The sequence below is a fragment of the Homo sapiens genome, chromosome 4 (assembly GCF_000001405.40).
Source record: "Homo sapiens chromosome 4, GRCh38.p14 Primary Assembly".
NCBI lineage: Eukaryota > Metazoa > Chordata > Mammalia > Primates > Hominidae > Homo > Homo sapiens.
Window position 1 is genome coordinate 127830895 of NC_000004.12, and position 18598 is coordinate 127849492.

The window sequence follows — 18598 nt, forward strand, 5'->3', positions numbered from 1 at the left end:
TTAGAACAGAAATTTAAGACTAATTTTTTATTTAGTTAAAAAATTTTAAGATTTTAGGTATGGGGTATCCCTTGATTTAATTTTTCATATACCAGGCTGGTTTTTAAACTTCAAGAGTAATACAGAATGAAATAAAAGCAATGTGACAACTTTCTGATTAAGTATTTCAGACTTATAGGTTGGATGAAACCTCTAAGTCTTCATTACAAAATTTTTCAGTATAAGTCTGTCTTTGACCTAGTTTGAAGCGTATAAACTTCCATGGTAAAATCTTATTCCGAGATAAACTTTTCAATTTAAAAAACACTGCTAATGAAAATGTTGGCCAGGCGTGGTGGCTCACGTCTGTAATCCCAGCACTTTGGGGGGGTTGAGACAGGCGGACTGCTTGAACCCAGGAGTTCGAGACCAGCATAAACAACATGGTGAAACCCCATCTCTACAAAAAATACAAAAATTAGCTGGGCGTGGTAGTGCATATCTGTAGTCCCAGCTACTCAGGAGGCTGAGGCAGGAGGCTCCCTTGAGCCCAGGAATTTGAGGCAGTAGTGAGCTACAGTCATGCCACTGCACGCCAGCTGGGTGACAGAGCAAGACCTTGTCTATTAAAAAAAAAAAAAAAAAAAAAAGGAAGCAATCTAAATATCTGTCAATAGGAAACTAGATCAATAAGTTGATGCATCCATACAACACTATGCAGCCATTAAATATAGCATTTTACATATAGAGATATCTGTTTAAAGATGTATACAGTGTATTGGTAAGTTAAATTACAGAACCTAAATGTATTCATTTGTACAAATACGTGTGCTCATAGATTTGTTTATATGTATGTGTATGCCTGAACATACATCTAGAAGGATATCCACCAAAAGGTTAATATTATTAATTTGTAGGAGATGGAATTTCAGGGGATTTTTAAAATAACATTCAGTATGTTTTGGGATATGTGATTTTTTTTCTTTTTTTTTAACAAAAGCTGGTATTTTTTATAATGAAGTAAGTAATAACAATATTTTTATTCTAACAAAGTTTTGCCAATAAGCTATAATATATATTTTACTCCTAATGAGATGAGATGAGATGTGGAGTGTGACAAGAGCAGTTTGCAACTAAAACATTCCCCTTAAGATGTTAATCCCTATATTTCCGTGGCTACCCCGATCTTTGTGACATTGATCTTCAAAGGTTTTTAAATTTGAGTAGTGTTTGTATAGTGGTCTTCTATTTGTTTGTAAAAAGCAAGGAAATTGAAGAGCATTGTTTCATTTAAATTATTAAGTTCCAATTTACTTTCACGGCACTTTTTCCTTCAGGAGAGGCTACTCAGCTATTTTCAAACAAAAAAAAATGTCGTTTGTGTATGTATTTGTATGATTCCATTTATTAGAATTGTTTTCATATAAATGTTGAAAATTTTCAGTTTATGAAATAGGTGTTATTTGATGTAATTCTCATAGCAAAGCATTACACGTAATTTAAAGGAAGAATTAAAAATTATTCCTGCCAAAGTAAACTGTATTTGATTATAAAGAAACAAGTTTTAGAAAGGTTAAGTACAAAAAATAATTGTTTAAGATTCAATAATTTTTGACTGCCACAGACATATACTAACAAACAAGGTAAATCTCTCATGAGGCATTTGAAGAAAACAGTTGGCTATCTAGCTGAGCAAATTCAGAAAGGGGGAATTATGTGAAAATTTAGAAAGTTAATGTGGAATTTAGAAAGTTAATGGTAACTTGTTCTGTAATCGTTTTAATATAATCAATTTCTTCATGTCTTTAGGAACTGGATAATTTCTGTAACCCCATCATTTACAAGCCCAAACCAAAAGCAGAAGTTCCTGAAGACAAACCAAAAGCTAATAGTGAACACAATGGCCCAATGGATGGACAGAGTGGAACTGAAACTAAATCAGATTCAACAAAAGACAGCTCACAGCATACTAAATCCTCTGGAGAGATGGAAGTGGACTAAGTCTTAATTTTACCTTCACATTAATTCAAACCGTGCAAGTAACCACGGGGTCCATCTTTTACATCTGGTACACACAACAGACGCTCAGTTGTTCTTAACCACTTTTGTCATTTGTTTTTTGGAGTAGTTTTGAAAAGTGTTTTATATTGAGTGCACTTCTGTTCATTTCCATTGCTGCTTATATGCAGTGTTAGCCGAATTAGATTTACAAGACAATCTAAGCTTTCCGGATAATTTTATATATCAAACATACAGGATGGATACATAGTTGGCAACAGTCTACCTTATTTAAAGCTTCTACTGGGATAAACCTCAATTCCTTTATTCAGGAAAGGATACTTTATTGCATTATTGTTGCAGAAGCATAGATTTAATTGCATCTTTATTTTGAAAAACAAATGAAAATTGATGGGGTTTAAAGCTACAGAGGCACTGACCTTTTTCTAGTTATTGTATTGCTACAATTTAAATATTAAAACAAATAAGAGCTTTCTCAACAAATTAGTCCATCTCATTGATGTACCACAGAAATCCAAAGCTTTGCTGTCATCACATAAATGAATTAAATCACATGTGAAAGGGAACACACCCAATTTTATGTTAAGGTGAAACCAGCAGTTTGCTTCTTTTATTAGTAATGTGGATTGATGTTTTCTCAGAGTAACTCGTTGTCTTTTCGCTTGAAATTTTTGATCTTGTCCTGAAGACTAGCTGCTGCTAAAACAATGCTAGCCTAAAGATACAGGAGTCTCTGACAAAATGACTTTCATGTTAAGGGGAAATGCTGTTTATCTACTCAGACATGCATCTGTGATGTTCATAGCCTTGTTTCAGTTATAATAGTTGTCTTGTTTTTTTCTTAATTGATTTTGTTAATAATACCTTAACACAGGGTAGGAAGAAGTGGCACAGTGTATTGCATTATATACATTTATCATTGATTTACCTAATGTTACCTTGTAGATTAAACACTATTAAGTGGTAATACTTGAAAAGGAGCACTTATACCATAAGTCTTAGGAAATAATGTTTGTAATAAACTTAACTATGTTACATATCAACAGGCAAAAATATAGAATGTTACATAGTGTTGTGTGATTAAATTATAGTTCCTGCTGTTAACATTACCTTTTGAAACCTTGGCTCCAGTTTTGGTGCTTCTTATACAAATTAAATGCGAAAAGGGACTGTAAACTTAAGATGTATTTTAAGGACTTTATCTGTGCTTCATCACCCAACTTGTTCACATTGTTAATTTCTGTCCAGAGACCTGAAACTGCTTAAGTATGGGAACAGACTGAAATGGTGTTTCAACCTGCAAGAGACAGAAGCATAGACAAGTATATGAGCCCTTATGTCCTTAATGCCAATCAACTAGATTGACCTAGGTTAAAATTTCAAAAGGCTCATTTTCTCCCAAAGCTAAATCTTTATATTAGGAACAATTAAATATTGACTTAAGTTGTAAAAATTGAGAGTACAATATCTTTAGGGATAGTCATTATTTCTCACAACTAGTTCTCTACGAGAGATTTTGTTTCTACAATGTAGTCAGCACTTAATGGAGAGTATGGAGTAGTGCATTTTGCAGGGATTTTTATTCCGTCTTTTGAGGGGAAGAATCTCTTTTTTGCATTAAAAAATCATATAAACTTAATATATTTTTAAACTCTCCTAGTCTTTAAACTTTCTCTTAATTCTCTTAAAATGAAATAGGTATATCCAATAGGTGATGAAATACATTTTTTACAAACATAGATGCTTTTTATTTGTATGTTGAATGTACAGATTCATTTCAAGAAAAGCATGAAGATAATGAAAGCAAATATGTAACAATACAAGTAGGGACTTTAGAGCTTCTATTTGGGTTAAAACATCCACTCACTTGGTTAGGAGCTATGCCTCAGAAACTTCCTGGGAGTAAATATGGGAACAACTTTTCTATTAATACATCTAAATTTTCTAGTATATCCTGACATTTTCCATTCCTGCTCTGAAGTCACTTTTAGTTTTGTGTTTTAGTCAGATAGTACCACTAATTTTTGTAATTATATAACACTTCATTTAATAACTTATATACATCCAAATATATATACTTTTTCTACCCAATTATTCAACTTAAAAGATTTCAAAAACGATTTAGCCTTATAATGTATTTATTTATTTAATTCATTAATGAAAGAGAGTGCTCTCTTTAATGCAGCTTTGGGTAGACAGTCTAATTCAGTCCAATTTTAATCTGCATTAAAATATGCAATGCTAGACAAAGATTTTCAAAATAAAAAGCTATTATTTCAGAAATTATTTTAAAAGATGCATAGTAAAACAGTGTTTTCCTATGGTAAGCAAATAAGAATGAAGTTTGTAGGGAATATTTGGAATGATTAATATAAATTAGTATACTTTGGCTCTGTGGAAAAGTGTAAATTGTGGTTTTAGAAACCAACTCTTGATAGTTGTACTGTGATTATAAAAAACAATTGTTAAATAATATAATGGAAGTTTGTGATAATTCCTTAGCAGTAATGTAAAATTATTAAGTTTTGGCCAGGCGCTGTGGCTCACGCCTGTAATCCTAGCACTTTGGGAGGCCAAGGCAGGCAGATCACCTGAGGTCAGGAGTTCAAGACCAGCCTGGCCAACATGGTGAAACCCTGTCTCTACTAAAAATACAAAAAAGTAGCCGGGCGTGGTGGCATGTCCCTGTAATCTCAGCTACCCGGGAGGCTCAGGCAGGAGAATCGCTGGAACCCAGGAGGCAGAGGCTGCCGTTAGCTGAGATCGTGCTCCTGCACTCCAGCCTGGGCAACAGAACAAGACTCCGTCTCAAAAAAAAAACAAAAATTCTTCCAAAAAACTAGAAAGAGCACAGCAAAGAATTTGGCTATTGAAATAACAGATAAACTTGATTTTGAAAAGGATAACAAGGCTGGGCACAGTGACTCACACCTGTAATCCTAGCACTTTGAGAGGCTAAGAAGGGAGGATCACTTGAACCCAGGAGTTCAAGACCAGCCTGAGAAACATAGTGAGACCCTGTCTCTAAAAAAATAAAAACTTAGCAAGGCATGGTGGTGCACACCTGTAGTCCTAGCTACTCAGGAGGCTGAGGTGGAGGATCACTTAAGCCTGAGAGGTCAAGGTTGCAATGAGCCATAATCATACCACTGCACTCCAGCCTGGGCAACAGAGTGAGGCCCTGTCTCAAACACATAAAAGGCAGTGGCCCACGCCTGTAATCCCAGCACTTTGGGAGGCCAAGGCGGGCAGATCACGAGGTCAGGAGATCAAGACCATCCTGGCTAACACGGTGAAACCCCGTCTCTACTAAAAATACAAAAAATTAGCTGGGCATGGTGGCGGGCGCCGGTAGTCCCAGCTACTCAGGAGGCTGAGGCAGGAGAATGGTGTGAACCCAGGAGGCGGAGGTTGCAGTGAGCCGAGATCGCGCCACTGCACTCCAGCCTGGGCAACAGAGCAAGACTCCATCTCAAAAACAAAACAAAACAAAAACATAAAAGGAAAACAAGACATTTACTAAGAAGAGCTAAAGGAAAGAATTAAAGGTTTCTTATGCTTTTTTGGGGGGGGGTGTCAATTTTTAGTATATTAAGAGCTAAAAGAAGTAAAGGTTTCTTAGACTTTTTTTGGGAGGGAGGCGTCAATTTTTAGTATATTTGTGATTAATTCCATGATAGAAGTCTTTAAAGAGAATTTTGGGGCTCAATAATTTAACATAATGTCAGTGTTAAAGCACTTAATCCAAATTAGCCCATCTTTAACTGTTTTGAAAAATCTATATTTATTAAAGGTAGTAGACATTTGAATATAGTAATCAAATTAACTGATTTTGTTTTCACCCTAAATACATACAACCATTCCTCCACTTTCATAAATTTGACAAATAATAAGCCTCTCCCATTAGGATTTTCTGTTTTATAGTAAATAGTTGGTATTTGGTAGTCCACAATTAAAGTCATTGCATTAATTTTACAAATTATAGATTTAGAAATGATTCTTAAGTTATTGGTAAAATATAACTTTCTCAGTTTTTAAAAGTTTACAAAATTTTTTTTTTTGTTTTGAGACAGAGTATGGCTTTGTTACCCAGGCTGGATTGCAATGGGGTGATCTAGGCTCACTGCAGCCTCCACCACCTGAGTTCAAGCGATTTTTCTGCCTCAACCTCTCCTGAGTAGCTGGGACTACAGGTGCATGACACCACACCCAGCTAATTTTTGTATTTTTATAGAGATGGAGTTTTGCCATGTTGGCCAGCCTGGTCTTGAACTCTTGAACTCCTGACCTCAGGTAATCCACCCACCTCAGACTCCCAAAGTGCTGGGATTACAGGCGTGAGCCACCATACCCGGCCAAAAATTTTTGCTTTTAAAGTTAATGTTATTTTGTGGTTAAACTTCTAAAGTTTTGAACTGTAAGCAGAATTTTGTTTTGTGATATTTTATTGTATAAACTGTTAATGAGAGGCACAGCTAATTGTACATATCAATATACATTTAAAATCTGGTAACACTGGTTAAATAGCCCTTGATGACTTTTCATGTGGCATGAGAGGGATATGCTTATAAAGCTTAATTCTGATATTATCCTCTTACTACCTACAGTATGTTTTGCAAAAATCAGTCCACTTAGCAAACTAATCTTTGTAAAGCAGTCAGTTTCAGAAGATACTTTTTATCAAAAAAGATGGCAGGTTTAACATTATACCTTTTGGTTTTTGCCCAACATTTGATTTAATCTAAAGCAAGAATATAAAATAATTTTAAGAAGCATATAATTTCTTTTGATAAAAAGTAACAAAAATTTAATGCAGATCAAAGACCAAGGCTTGTAACCAAAACAAGCAAAAAGAAACTTTAGCTGTTTAACTATCACCTCTCTAATTTAAAATGCATGAAAATTAATACTTTGTTTTTGTTTTTTTTTTGGAAACAGTCTCACTCTGTCACCCAGGCTGGAGGGCACAATCTCTGCTCACTGCAACCTCCACCTCCTGGGCTCAAGCCTCAAGCAATTCTCCTGCCTCAGCCTCCCAAGTAGCTGGGATTACAGGAACCCACCACCACGCCCAGCTAATTTTTGTATTTTTAGTAGATGGGGTTTCATCATGTTGGCCAGGCTGGTTTTGAACTCCTGACTTCAAATGATCCACCCACATCCACCTGCCAGAGTGCTGAGATTACAGGCGTGAGCCACCGCACCTGGCCAATGTTCTTTTATATACTCATGTTTTCTAACAAAACAGCTTTGGATTTATAATGCTGCCAGATGTCATTACAATTTTTTTTCTAAATTCAAAGGTAATTATTCTAAACAATAAAAGGGCACCTGGAATTTTCAGAACATTAAAAAACTGAAACCACTTAGAAGAAAAGAAGAAACCTAAATGTCTGTGGAAGTGATCAGTATTAAGTGGGTGATGGCTCTTTCATCTTCCTTATCCCTAAAGATACTTCCAACATATTGTTAGAGTAAGTATTAAAAGAAAAAGTAGGTTTGCTGAAAAACATTACTAAATGACTTGGAGCTCTCCAGTCAAAGAAACAAAGCTAATTGAAATAATGTACATTTGGTTCAGTCTGTCAGGCAAGTACAAATCCATAACAAAAAAAATTAATAGTATGCTCTTTGCTTTGGAATCTCTAATTTACGGTCATGCCCTAAGTCACAGGATGATTATTAGGGAAATGTCATTGACACCTGAAAATTACCTATCCTGTAAAAAGACTGGTGAAATTCAACATGTTTTAAATAATTTAATTGCATTATAGCATATAAACTATAAATGAAAATGATCTTTGTCTTTCCTTTATCTTGCTTTATCCTCTTATCCAATTCTAGACTCTTAAATAATCACTGTATTTTTCTCAAGTATTTGTTATTTTTTATTATCCTTTAGATCTTTTTGTTCATGGCTCTTTAAAAATAGTTTTACTGATAATCCAATCACTTGGATAGTTAATTTTATTACTTTTTGTTTCCTTTTTAATATTTATTCTTCCCGTTAAGGGTTTTTTGGCTATAAATTCGTACTTGATAAGCTATGTTATTTCTTTGTGTAATTTAATAGTAGCATTCTGGAGTAGATTCTTTTTTTGTATTCTGGCCTTGGAATACTTTAATTCCGGACCAAAAGAGGTCAATTTTGTGAGTATTGCCTATTAAGTAAACAACATCCCTCATTTTTAATCCAAATATCAATTTGACAGAATAACAAGGGTCAGAAATTCAAAATAGCTGTTAGACACCTTTGATTCTTTGCTGCTCTCTGGTTATGTATGTGTGTTGTGCATCTTCCTTGTTGTTTTAGAGTTTCCTAAATTTTTTGCTTCTGGGGACTTGAGTATTTTTAAATGTTCTTAAAATTATATGAATCTACCCAGAATGTAGATGTCAAAATGTAATTAGAGGCCCCGTGCAGTGGCTCACGCCTGTAATCCCAGCACTTTGGGAGGCCGAGGCAGGTGGATCGCCTGAGCTCAGGAGTTCAAGACCAGCCTGGGCAACATGGCAAAACCCCGTCTCTACTAAAAATACAAAAAATTAGCTGGGTGTGGTGGTGTGTGCCTGTAGTCCCAGCTACTCGGGAGGCTGAGGCAGGAGAATCGCTTGAACCCTGGCGAAACCCCATTTCTAAAATAGAAAAATTTAGCCGGGTGTGGTGGTGTGTGCCTATAGTCCCAGCTATTCGGGAGGCTGAGGCAAGAGAATTGCTTGAACCCGGGAGGTGGAGGTCGCAGTGAGCTGAGATCCTGCCACTGCACTCCAACCTGGGGGTAACAGAGCGAGACTCTGTCTCAAAAAAAAAAAAAAGTGTAATTAGAAATGGAAATCTAGGTAAAGGAAGCTTTAAAATGTTGTATTTTTTCCCTGAAATAAACTTTTATGATTTAATGTCTTGGAAAAAGACTCACATGAAAAGTGGCTTTTATATTTGGTAGGATAAAGCCATTGTCCTTTAATACCATAGCAAATAGAAGCAATTTTTAATGAGGTTACTGAATTGTTTAGTATTCCTAATATGGCATCCAGGTCATCTTTTCTTTTCTCCAACCATTATTAAAATAACTTGACACTTTGGGAGGCCAAGCTGGGCAGATCACCTGAGGTCAGGAGTTTGAGACCAGCCTGGCCAACATGGTGAAACCCCATCTCTACTAAAAAAAATACAAAAATTAGCGGGGCCATGGTGACGTGCACCTGTAATCCCAGCTACTCGGGAGGCTGAGGTGGGAGAATAGCTTGAACCTGGGAGGCAGAGGTTGTGGTGAGCCAAGATCACGCCACTGCACTCCAGCCTGGGTGACAGAGCAAGACTCCATCTCAAGAAAAAAATAAATAAATAATAATTTGTGTATGTGATGACTGACTCTAGTCATTATGGAAAATAACTTTTGGCAGTTTAGTTCCTAATGTTAACAATTCCTCTTTTTAAGAGAGGTACTACATTTGATTTCTCAATTTCTCAGTTTGTTTTCAATACAAACAGCAACCACTGAAATGCAGAAAATGGTAATCAAGTGTGATGTTTCTATAAAAATAATTGAGATTCACATGTAATAGACCCTTTAGCTTTAATGAGCAGACATGAGAATGGTTTATGATCTTAAGTTGGTAACATAGGAATATGTATTTGTCAATTTTAGTTCACAAACATATCCATAAGAATGTTTACACATGGCAGTATCAAAGCATATAAAATATTTTCTATGTAAGTAAATTGCATCTTTATGCTAGTGAACAAAGTAGCAATAAATGTTCATTTTTGGATGGCAGTACACATTGTTAACAATCGTGTAATTATAATAAATATGTCTACCTACTCCTTGAACCATGAATTTTGCACACCTGAGGTTTAATTTTCACCTATTGAACTTTATTGATTTGATGATGGTCTGTGGACAGATCATCAAGTTCATTTATAAAAATTTACTTGGCAATGAGGGTTTTTAAGTAACCTGGGAAATTTTTCAAACCTTCAGATACTATTGATTCTGAAAACTAAAATAGTACTTTGCTAATGTTGGAAGTATTGTTGTTAGAGAACAACCCAGGAATAAATGAATTTTAAGACTTTAGAAATTCTCAACAGGCAAATGGACGCTTCCTGCCCCAGTGATTCTGATAATAGCTCCTCAGTTTTGAGAATTGCTGTTCCTAATAAAAATGTGTCAAATAGCTTAGCATGTTGGGAAAAGAAAATGGTTGAGGTCCCCGGTCTAGACTGGAGCATTTGGTGCTTAATAATTTTTTTGTGGTTGGACAACTTGGGAAATTTGAAGGATTTGGATCCTCAATCCAGAAAAGTGTTTATACGCCTATGCACTTTAAACAAATGCGAATAAAGTCTAGAAGGCTGAATAACTGGCAGTTCATTCCCATTTTGCTAACTCCTGAGTTTGGAAGAATGAGATAGAGTTTTGCTTTAAATCAAAACCCTGTTCCTACTGATTAATGAGGTAAGAGTTGTAACCTTTCAGAGGTGATTGTCTGATTGTACCCAATATTTTATCCACAAAATTTTACCATTTTAAAAGGTAAGGAAATAGGTTCAAGGGAGTTCAGACATCCTGCAATTGCTAGAAGGCAGTATGAAACCAGTTGTGTCCAGCTGTGGTGATAAAGCAGTATAAACCTGAAAGTATTTGTGTATTAGGCAAAAATCAGGTTAAATTTAGATAAATAAGGAAGAAACAACATGTAATAAAATGAACCCTGTTAAAGGCAACAGAGAAGCGAAGAAAAAAATCACAAAATAACAAATCCAAATATCTAAGTAGTTACAATAAGTACCATAAACTTGCAAGTTTAAAGACCACATGTGGGCCAGGCATGGGGTGCCGTGGCTTATGCCTGTAATCCCAGCACTTTGGTGGGGAGCGGGTGGCTCACGCCTGTAATCCCAGCACTTTGGGAGGCCAAGGCGGACGGATAACAAGGTCAGGAGTTCAAGACCAGCCTGGCCAATATGGTAAAACCCCGTCTCTACTAAAAAATACAAAAAAAAAAATTAGCCAGGCGTGGTGGCGTGTACCTGTAGTCCCAGCTACTCGGGAAGCTGAGGCAGGAGAATCACAAAAAAAAAAAAAAAAAAAAGGTTACAGAGACTTCTTAAACATAATGATGTAATAGTTACAAATAGATTGGAAAAGATATACTAAAAATCTATCAAAAGAGAAGTGACAATCAGATAAAATTGATTTTGCTTTGGAATTACCTTAAAATTGATTTTAAGGTAAAATAATAAAGGGAGTGTGGGAATAAAGAGTAAGCTTTTAACAATGATAAATGGAGCAATTCAGGATTATAACAGCTCTGAAACAGCCTCAAAATATATGAAGCAATTCACAATGAGAAGCTGAAACCCATAAGAATAGTAATAGGCCATGTGCGGTGTCTCATGTCTGTAATCCCAGCACTTTGGGAGGCTGAAGCAGGCACATCATTTGAGCCCAGCAGTTTGAGACCAGCCTGGGCAACATGGTGAAACCCTGTCACAAAAAAATCTAAAAATTAGCCGGGCATGGTGAATACATATATAAAAGAATGGAGCAAAATTTAAAAGCTGGATCTAATGAAATTATATAATAAATTGTCACTGGACTATTAGGTAAAACTTTTCCAAATACACATGGAATAACATATTCACAAAAATTCATTATAGTAGACCACAAAGCAAAACTTAATACTGAAGACCGTAATAGTTTTTCAGACAAGAGAAATCACCTTATAAGACAAGATTAGAAATCACCTATGAAATAGAGATGGTGACTGTAGTTAACAGTGTATACATTTGCTTTACAATGTATTTCAAAGTAACTAGAAGAGAGAACTGGTCATGTACCCAACACAAATGATAAATACTCGAGGTGATGGATACCGTAAGTATCCTGACTTTATCATTACACGTTCTACGCATGTAACAAAATACCACATCTACCCCACTAATATGTACAAATATCAGTTTTTAGATGTTTTTAATTTTAAAAAATTATGTAGATAATCCAAGACATGCCAAATGTCCATATGCTTGGATTGAAAGTATTAACTTCTAGAAATGTCAAATCATGTTGAAAATTAGAAAATACTTCAAATGACAGTGAATATTGTTACTTTAGCAACTGTACCCCTTAAACTCCAACTGCTTTTTAATATACTTTTTCCCATTGCATCTATCCCTATATATGTATGTGTGCATGTATGTACACATGTTAACTGTAAAATGTATCTTCCCACTCCATAAGGGCAGCAATTTTTATCTTTCCCATACAACTACAAGGATGCCTGGCACAGTAAGAGATCAACAATTTTTAAATAAATGGAAGCTGCATGTAAGACTTGGTAGGATGCAACTAAAGTGTTAGTTTATATGCTTTAATCATATACTGAAAATGATGATTTAATGACAAACTCATCCAAGTAGAGATAGACGACAAAATACACCAAAAGAACTTGGAAGGAATTAATGGCATAAATTGATAATGGAATTTTCCCAACATGGTGTGCCTCAGCCACTTGGAAATAGCAAAATAATGCATAAAGATCCACTCCGTGAGAAAAAAAATAAAAAATCACGGAAATTCACGGGAATAGCAAAAGACACCCCAGATCCCGAGGAGGAGGAGGTGGACAGGTGGCCCCCATGATAGTCTCTGGCTGATAAAACTGACACTCCAGTACGTGAGGGGGCAGAGAGCCAGTTTCCGTGACTCACCTTTCCACTAGGGATCCGTGCAATCCAGGCCGAGGGAGAATAACTTGTTTCTCTCAAACCCTGGAGATAACTTGGAGAGAGGCGAAGAGACAGAGAGACACCAGGAAAAGCTGCAGCCATTTTCCCGGACTTGGGACTGAGATGAGGACGCAATCTTTAACCCTGGCTTATACAAAGTCAGTCACTGGCCACCTGGCAGCAGGGGCCACTGCAGGCATTTTAGTCGCTGGCTGGAGATTGGAGCACATGCTCTGAGCAGGAAATGGCCCACAAAGCCAGAATTGAGCAGTGAGTGTGGCGAGTGCCCCAGCACTAGGCGTTGGAATTGGGTTCCCTACCACCGCAAGACTGGAGGACTGCAGCGGCAGGAGAGTTACTGAAGCTGAGGTTTATCCTGGGTGGTGAAACGAAACCAGAGACAGCCTTGCAAGCTAGAATCAGTCTGCATGTGTCTGGGTACCCTATCCTGCTCCCTTGGTCAGTCGGAAGAGTGCCCCACCAGTTACAAGGAGTGGGAGGTGGACCCCACTCTGTCTTGCCTGGATTGGGAGCAATGGGTCAAATTCCTCTTTCCTTGCAAAGACATCAGTGTCAGGGGTGCATTCTCTGTGGTACACTCATAGTCCAACTCATTCAGAGTAACTTTAGCAGCCCAAGCCACATTTCCCTTCCTGTGCAGAGATTTTGGTGCAGTGGCACTCTCTCCACTCCAAACCCAGGCATATTCCCAGGCATTTGGAGCACCCACATTCCTTGATTAGCAGCCTGAGCTGCTCCTCCCTTTTCCTGGAAAGACCTTATTGCACCAGCAGTACCTCCACTCCTTGCCAGGGTACACGTTTTCAGCCATTCAGAGAACACATTAGCCTGGATTAGGAGACAGAGCTGCCCCTCCCTTACTGTGTAGAGAACTTGGTGCAGCGGGGCCCTCTTTGCCCCCACACCGAGGCATATCTTCAGGAATTTGGAGCACTGGCTCATCTGGATTAGCAGCCTGAGCTGCCCATCCCTTTCCCTGCAAAGACTTTGTTGTAGCAGCAGTTGTTCACTCTTCACCAGTGGACACATTTCCAGGCCATCGGGCATGTGCTCACCTAGATTAGGAGCCTGAGGTGCCCCTCCCTTCCTGTGCACAGATCTTGATACAGTGGTGCACTCTCTGCTCCATACCCAGATGTAACTCCAGACTTTCAGTGCACCTGCCCCCTGGAATAAGAGTTTAAGCCACCTTCCCATTCCGCACACAAAGAACTTGGTGCAACAGCACTCCCTCTGCTCTACTCCCAGATGTAACTCCAAGCATTTGGCACACCTACTCCCACGGATTAGGAGTTTGAGTCACCCCTGCTTTCCCTCTTGTGGTAGCAGTTTCTCTGCTCCTGCCCTGGGCTTATCTATATCTGGTTTTGTTACCAGTGGGAGGTATCTGAGTTACCGGCAACAAATCCATACAGGTCTGCAGCAACTTCAATTCTTGCATCCTCAGAAGAAAGAATTTGACTGACGGACATAAAGCAGAAAAAGAGACCAAGGCAAGTTCCAGAGCAGGAGTGGAAGTTTATTTAGAAAGGCTTTAGAACAGGAAGGAAAGGAAAGTTCACTTGGAAGAGACCCAAGTTGGCACCTGAAGGTCAAGTGTGACATTTAACTGTGATCCTACTTTATAGGCTCACCTCTTTCCCATGACTCTTCCCTTAGAATGGGCTGCTTGCATGCACAGCACCCTCCTTTTGCTTGGGAGGTGAACACATGCAGTGTGTTTAGGAAGTTGTATGTATGCCCATCTGAGGCTTTCTTCCTTTTTCCAGTGGAGTGCCCCTGGAACATCCTACTCTGCCATTTTATCTCTTAATATGCATGCCCTTCTGCTTCTCCCTGGCATCTGCATTCAGTTAACACTTCAGGGCAACAGGTGTGGACCATCAGGAAATGGCCTCTCACTGGCACCAGCTGCCAACATATCACTTTTAGATAGGCAATGCAATAATTGCCAAACCATCACCCAGCATTCCTAGTGGGTTTGCAGGAGATCCCTTTCCTGCCCCACTCATGCCTGTTTAACTACCTGTAACTGCTTGAGGCACACCTGCTTCCCCGAATTAGGAGGTTGAGCTACCCCTCCCATCCCCTGCAATGTCTTTGTTGCAGCAGCAGTTTCTCAGCTCCTTGCTGGGACATATTTCTAGGCATTTGGCTCACCCACTCACCTGGATTAGGAGCCTGAGCCATCCCACCCCTTCAGGTGCACAGATCTTGGTTGCAGTCATGCTCTAACCACTCACTGCTTGGTCATATCTTCAGGCATTTGGAGCACCCACTCCTAGATTAGGAGGTTAGATTGCCCCTCTTTCCCATGCAGAGACCTTGGGTCAGTGGAGATCCACCCACTGGAAACCCCCCACCCACTTGGAGCTGGTGCCTGTTGCTGCCATTGGAGAACCTGTAGGCAGGCCTGCCCAGTCTAGTCCCACCCATCTTTCCCCTTCTCCAGGTCTTATCAGGGAACTCAGACCACTGTACATTCCATAGCCCATGCCTGAGGCAACAGAGGGTTTCTCCCAGTAAAGAAGGATCAAGTATATACCCAACTGCATCAGCCACAACTGACTCTTACCATAAGCATCACCTACTGGCCTGGAGGTTAAATGGAATAACACAATAGGAAATCTGCTGACACAAGCATGCAACCCTGTGGAGAATAAGATAAGCTTCCTAACACCTCCTCCACCCCAGCCACACAGGAGCCAATGAGCCTGCTCATATGCCCAGTACCTTGCTGCTACAGTGTTTGGAAAAGCCACCATACAAAAACTATCTATAACCAGGCAACTTAGACTCTGCCACCAAAAGCACCCAGAACCAAAACCAAAGCACCCTACACAAAATACATTATAGACATCCCTTCAAGGGAGAAACAAATCCTGTCCAAATGAAAGCAAGTTAAAAAAATATAAGGAGAGATAGCTTATCCAGTGAGAAAGAACCAGAGAAACAACACTGAAAGTAATTTAAACAAAACAAAACAAAACAAAAAGACCAACACCCTCAAAGGATTATGCTAACTCTCCAACAACAGATCCCAACCAAAATGAACTCTTTGAAATACTAGATAAAGAACTCAAAGTACTCCAGCCTAGTGTGACACAGCAAGACCCTGTCTCAAAAAAAAAAAAAAAAAAAAAAATCAAAGTAGATTTTTACAGAAGTTCAATGAGATTCAAGAGAAAGCTGAAAACCAACACAAAGAAATCAGAAAAACAATTCAGGATATGAAAGCTGAGACATCATTTTAAAAACCCAAACAGAACTTTAGGAAATGAGAAATTAATTGAAGGAATTACAAAATACAGTTGAAATCTTTAACAACAGTCTAGACCAAGTGGAAGAAAGAATTTGACAGCTGAAAGACAGGCCCTTCTAATTAGACTAAACAGACAAAAATTTAAAAGAATTTTTAAAAATAAGGCCTTCAAGAAATATGAGTCGTAGATATTCCAGAAAAAAAAAAGAAAAAGTAAAAAGTATGGAAAACCTATTTGAGAAAATAATTCAAGAAAACTTCCCTAGCCATGGGAGACATTTAGACATCCAGATATAAGACACTCAGAGAACTCCTGGAAGATACATTGCCAGAAGAACTTCACCAAGGCATACAGTCATCAGACTATCCAAAGTTAACAAGAAGGAAAAAATTCTAAGACTGGCAAGAGAGAAAAGTCTAATCACCTATAAAGAAAATTCCATCATACTGATAGCAGATTTATCAGCAGAAACCCTACAAGCCAGAAGAGACTGGGGGCCTATTTTTAGCCTCCTTAAAGAAAAAAAAAAAATGCTAGCCAAGTATTTTATATCCTACCAAACCAAGTTTTATAAGTGAAGGAGAAATAGTCTTTCCCAGACAAACAAATGCAAAGGAAATTTGTCATCAGTAGACCAGTCCTGCAAAAAATGCTCAAAGAAGTTCTAAACATGGAAACAAAAGGGCAATATGCACCACCACAAAAGAACACGTAAGTACAAAACTCACAGATCCTATAAAGCAGTGACATAATTGAAACTCCATGGCAACTAGCTAACAACACTATGACAGAAAAAAACCTCACATATCAATATTAACTTGGAATGTAAATGGACTAAATATTCCACTGAAAAGATGCAAAAGCAAGCAGAAATAGCCATTCTCATATTAGAAAAAACAGACTTTAATCCAACAAAAGCAAAAAAAAAAAAAAAAGACAAAGAGGGGCACTATATAATGCTGAAGTGTTCAAAACAACAAGAAGATTTAACCTAATTAAATATATATGCATACAATACAGGAGCACCCAGCCTCATCAAGCAAATACTACTTGAACTAAGAAAACAATTTGATAGAAATACAATAATAATGGGGGACTTCATCCCACTGACATCACTAGACAAATCATCAAGGCAGAAAATCAGCAAAGAATCTCTGGACTTAAACTGGACTGCAGACCTAATGGACCTAATAGACATTTACAGAACATTCTATCCAACAACTGCAGAATATATATATACTTATCTGCATATGGAACATTTTCCAAAACTGACCATGTGCTGGGCCTTAAAGCAAGTCTCAGAAAAACAAAACAAAACAAAACAAACAGAGATCAAGTATCTTCTTGAACCACAGTGGAATAAAATTAGAAATCAATACCAGCCCAGGCATGGTGGCTCATGCCTGTAATCCCAGCACTTTGGGAGGCCAAGGAAGGGGATAACCTGAGGTCAGGAGTTCAAGACCAGCCTGGCCAACATGGTGAAACTCCGTCTCTACTAAAAATACACAAAAAAAATTAGCCCAGTGTGGTGGGAGGTGCCTATAATCCCAGCTACTCGGGAGGCTAAGGCAGAAGAATTGCTTGAACCTGGGAGGTGGAGGTTGCAGTGAACTGAGATCGTGCCATTGCACTCCAGCCTGGGTGATAAGAGTGAGACTCCATTGAAAAAAAGAAAAGAAGGAGAGAGGGAGAGGGAGAGAGGGAGAGGGAGAGAAGGAGAGGGAGAGAGAGAAAGAAAATGGGAAAGAAAAGAGAGAGAGAGAAAGAAAGAAAGAGAGAAGAAAGTCAATACCAAAAGGAACTCTAAAAAGCCACACAAGTACATGGGAACCAAACAACTTGTTCCTGAATGATCTTTGGACAAACAATGAAATTAAAGCAGAAATCAAAAAAATTTTCAAAACGAATGCAAATAGAGACACAACATACCAACTCTCTGGAATACAGCAAAAGCAGTACTAAGACACAGTTTATAGTGTGAAATGCCTACATCTTGACAGAAAGATCTCAAATAAAATTTAATGTTGAACCTCAAGGAACCTGAAAAACAAGAACAAACAAAACCCAAAGCTAGCAGAAGAAAATAAATGGCAAATATCAGAGCAGAACTAAATGAGACTGAGACCAAAAAAATGATACAAAGGATCAACAAAACAAAAGCTGGTTCTTTGAAAGGATATGCAAAACTGACAGATGGTTAGCTAGACTAAGAAAAAAAGAGAGAAGATTCAAATTAGTATAGTCAGAAACGATAAAGGTGACATTACAACTGACACCACAGAAACAGAAAAGATCACCAGAGGGCTGGATGTGGTGGCTCATGCCTGTAATCCTAGCACTATGGGAGGCCAAGGCACATGGATTGCCTGAGCTTAGGAGTTCGAGACCAGCCTGGGCAACATGGCAAAACCCTGTCTCTAAAAAAAAATACAAAAAAAAAAAAAAAAATAGCCAGGCATGGTGATGCATGCCTTTAGTCCCAGCTACTTGGGGGTCTGGGGCAGGAGGATTACTTGAGCCCAGGAGGCAGAGGTTGCAGTGAGGCAAGATCTCACCACTGCACTCTAGCCTGGGTGAC

General features: G+C 38.2%; 1 protein-coding gene across 4 annotated transcripts in view, besides 3 other annotated features; it reads left to right on the forward strand.

The window, feature by feature from the left end:
- The window catches only part of HSPA4L (heat shock protein family A (Hsp70) member 4 like), a 58938-nt gene extending 49099 nt beyond the window's left edge, over positions 1-9839 (forward strand). For all 4 annotated transcript variants that reach the window (NM_001317381.2, NM_014278.4, NM_001317383.2 and 1 more), the window contains one exon: positions 1789-9839. In NM_001317381.2, coding sequence (NP_001304310.1) covers positions 1789-1980 — 192 coding nt within the window. In that variant the 3' untranslated portion in view covers positions 1981-9839. The remainder of the gene's footprint in view (positions 1-1788) is intronic.
- Positions 15150-15691: an enhancer, noted in NCBI's record as "NANOG-H3K27ac hESC enhancer chr4:128767199-128767740 (GRCh37/hg19 assembly coordinates)". NCBI's record gives its function as "activates a minimal SCP1, AML or CMV promoter by ChIP-STARR-seq in naive H9 embryonic stem cells {active_cell/tissue: H9 hESC(naive)}" and the evidence as "EXISTENCE:reporter gene assay evidence [ECO:0000049][PMID:30033119]".
- Positions 17929-18098: an enhancer, noted in NCBI's record as "experimental_73803 CRE fragment used in MPRA reporter constructs". NCBI's record gives its function as "activates a minimal promoter by MPRAs in K562 erythroleukemia cells, with activity observed for the introgressed 4:128770063 or rs72616958 variant allele {active_cell/tissue: K562}" and the evidence as "EXISTENCE:reporter gene assay evidence [ECO:0000049][PMID:34662402]".
- Position 18014: a transcriptional cis regulatory region, noted in NCBI's record as "Neanderthal adaptively introgressed variant 4:128770063 (GRCh37/hg19 assembly coordinates) or rs72616958 in the experimental_73803 CRE". NCBI's record gives its function as "modulates activity of the experimental_73803 enhancer by MPRAs in K562 erythroleukemia cells {active_cell/tissue: K562}" and the evidence as "EXISTENCE:reporter gene assay evidence [ECO:0000049][PMID:34662402]".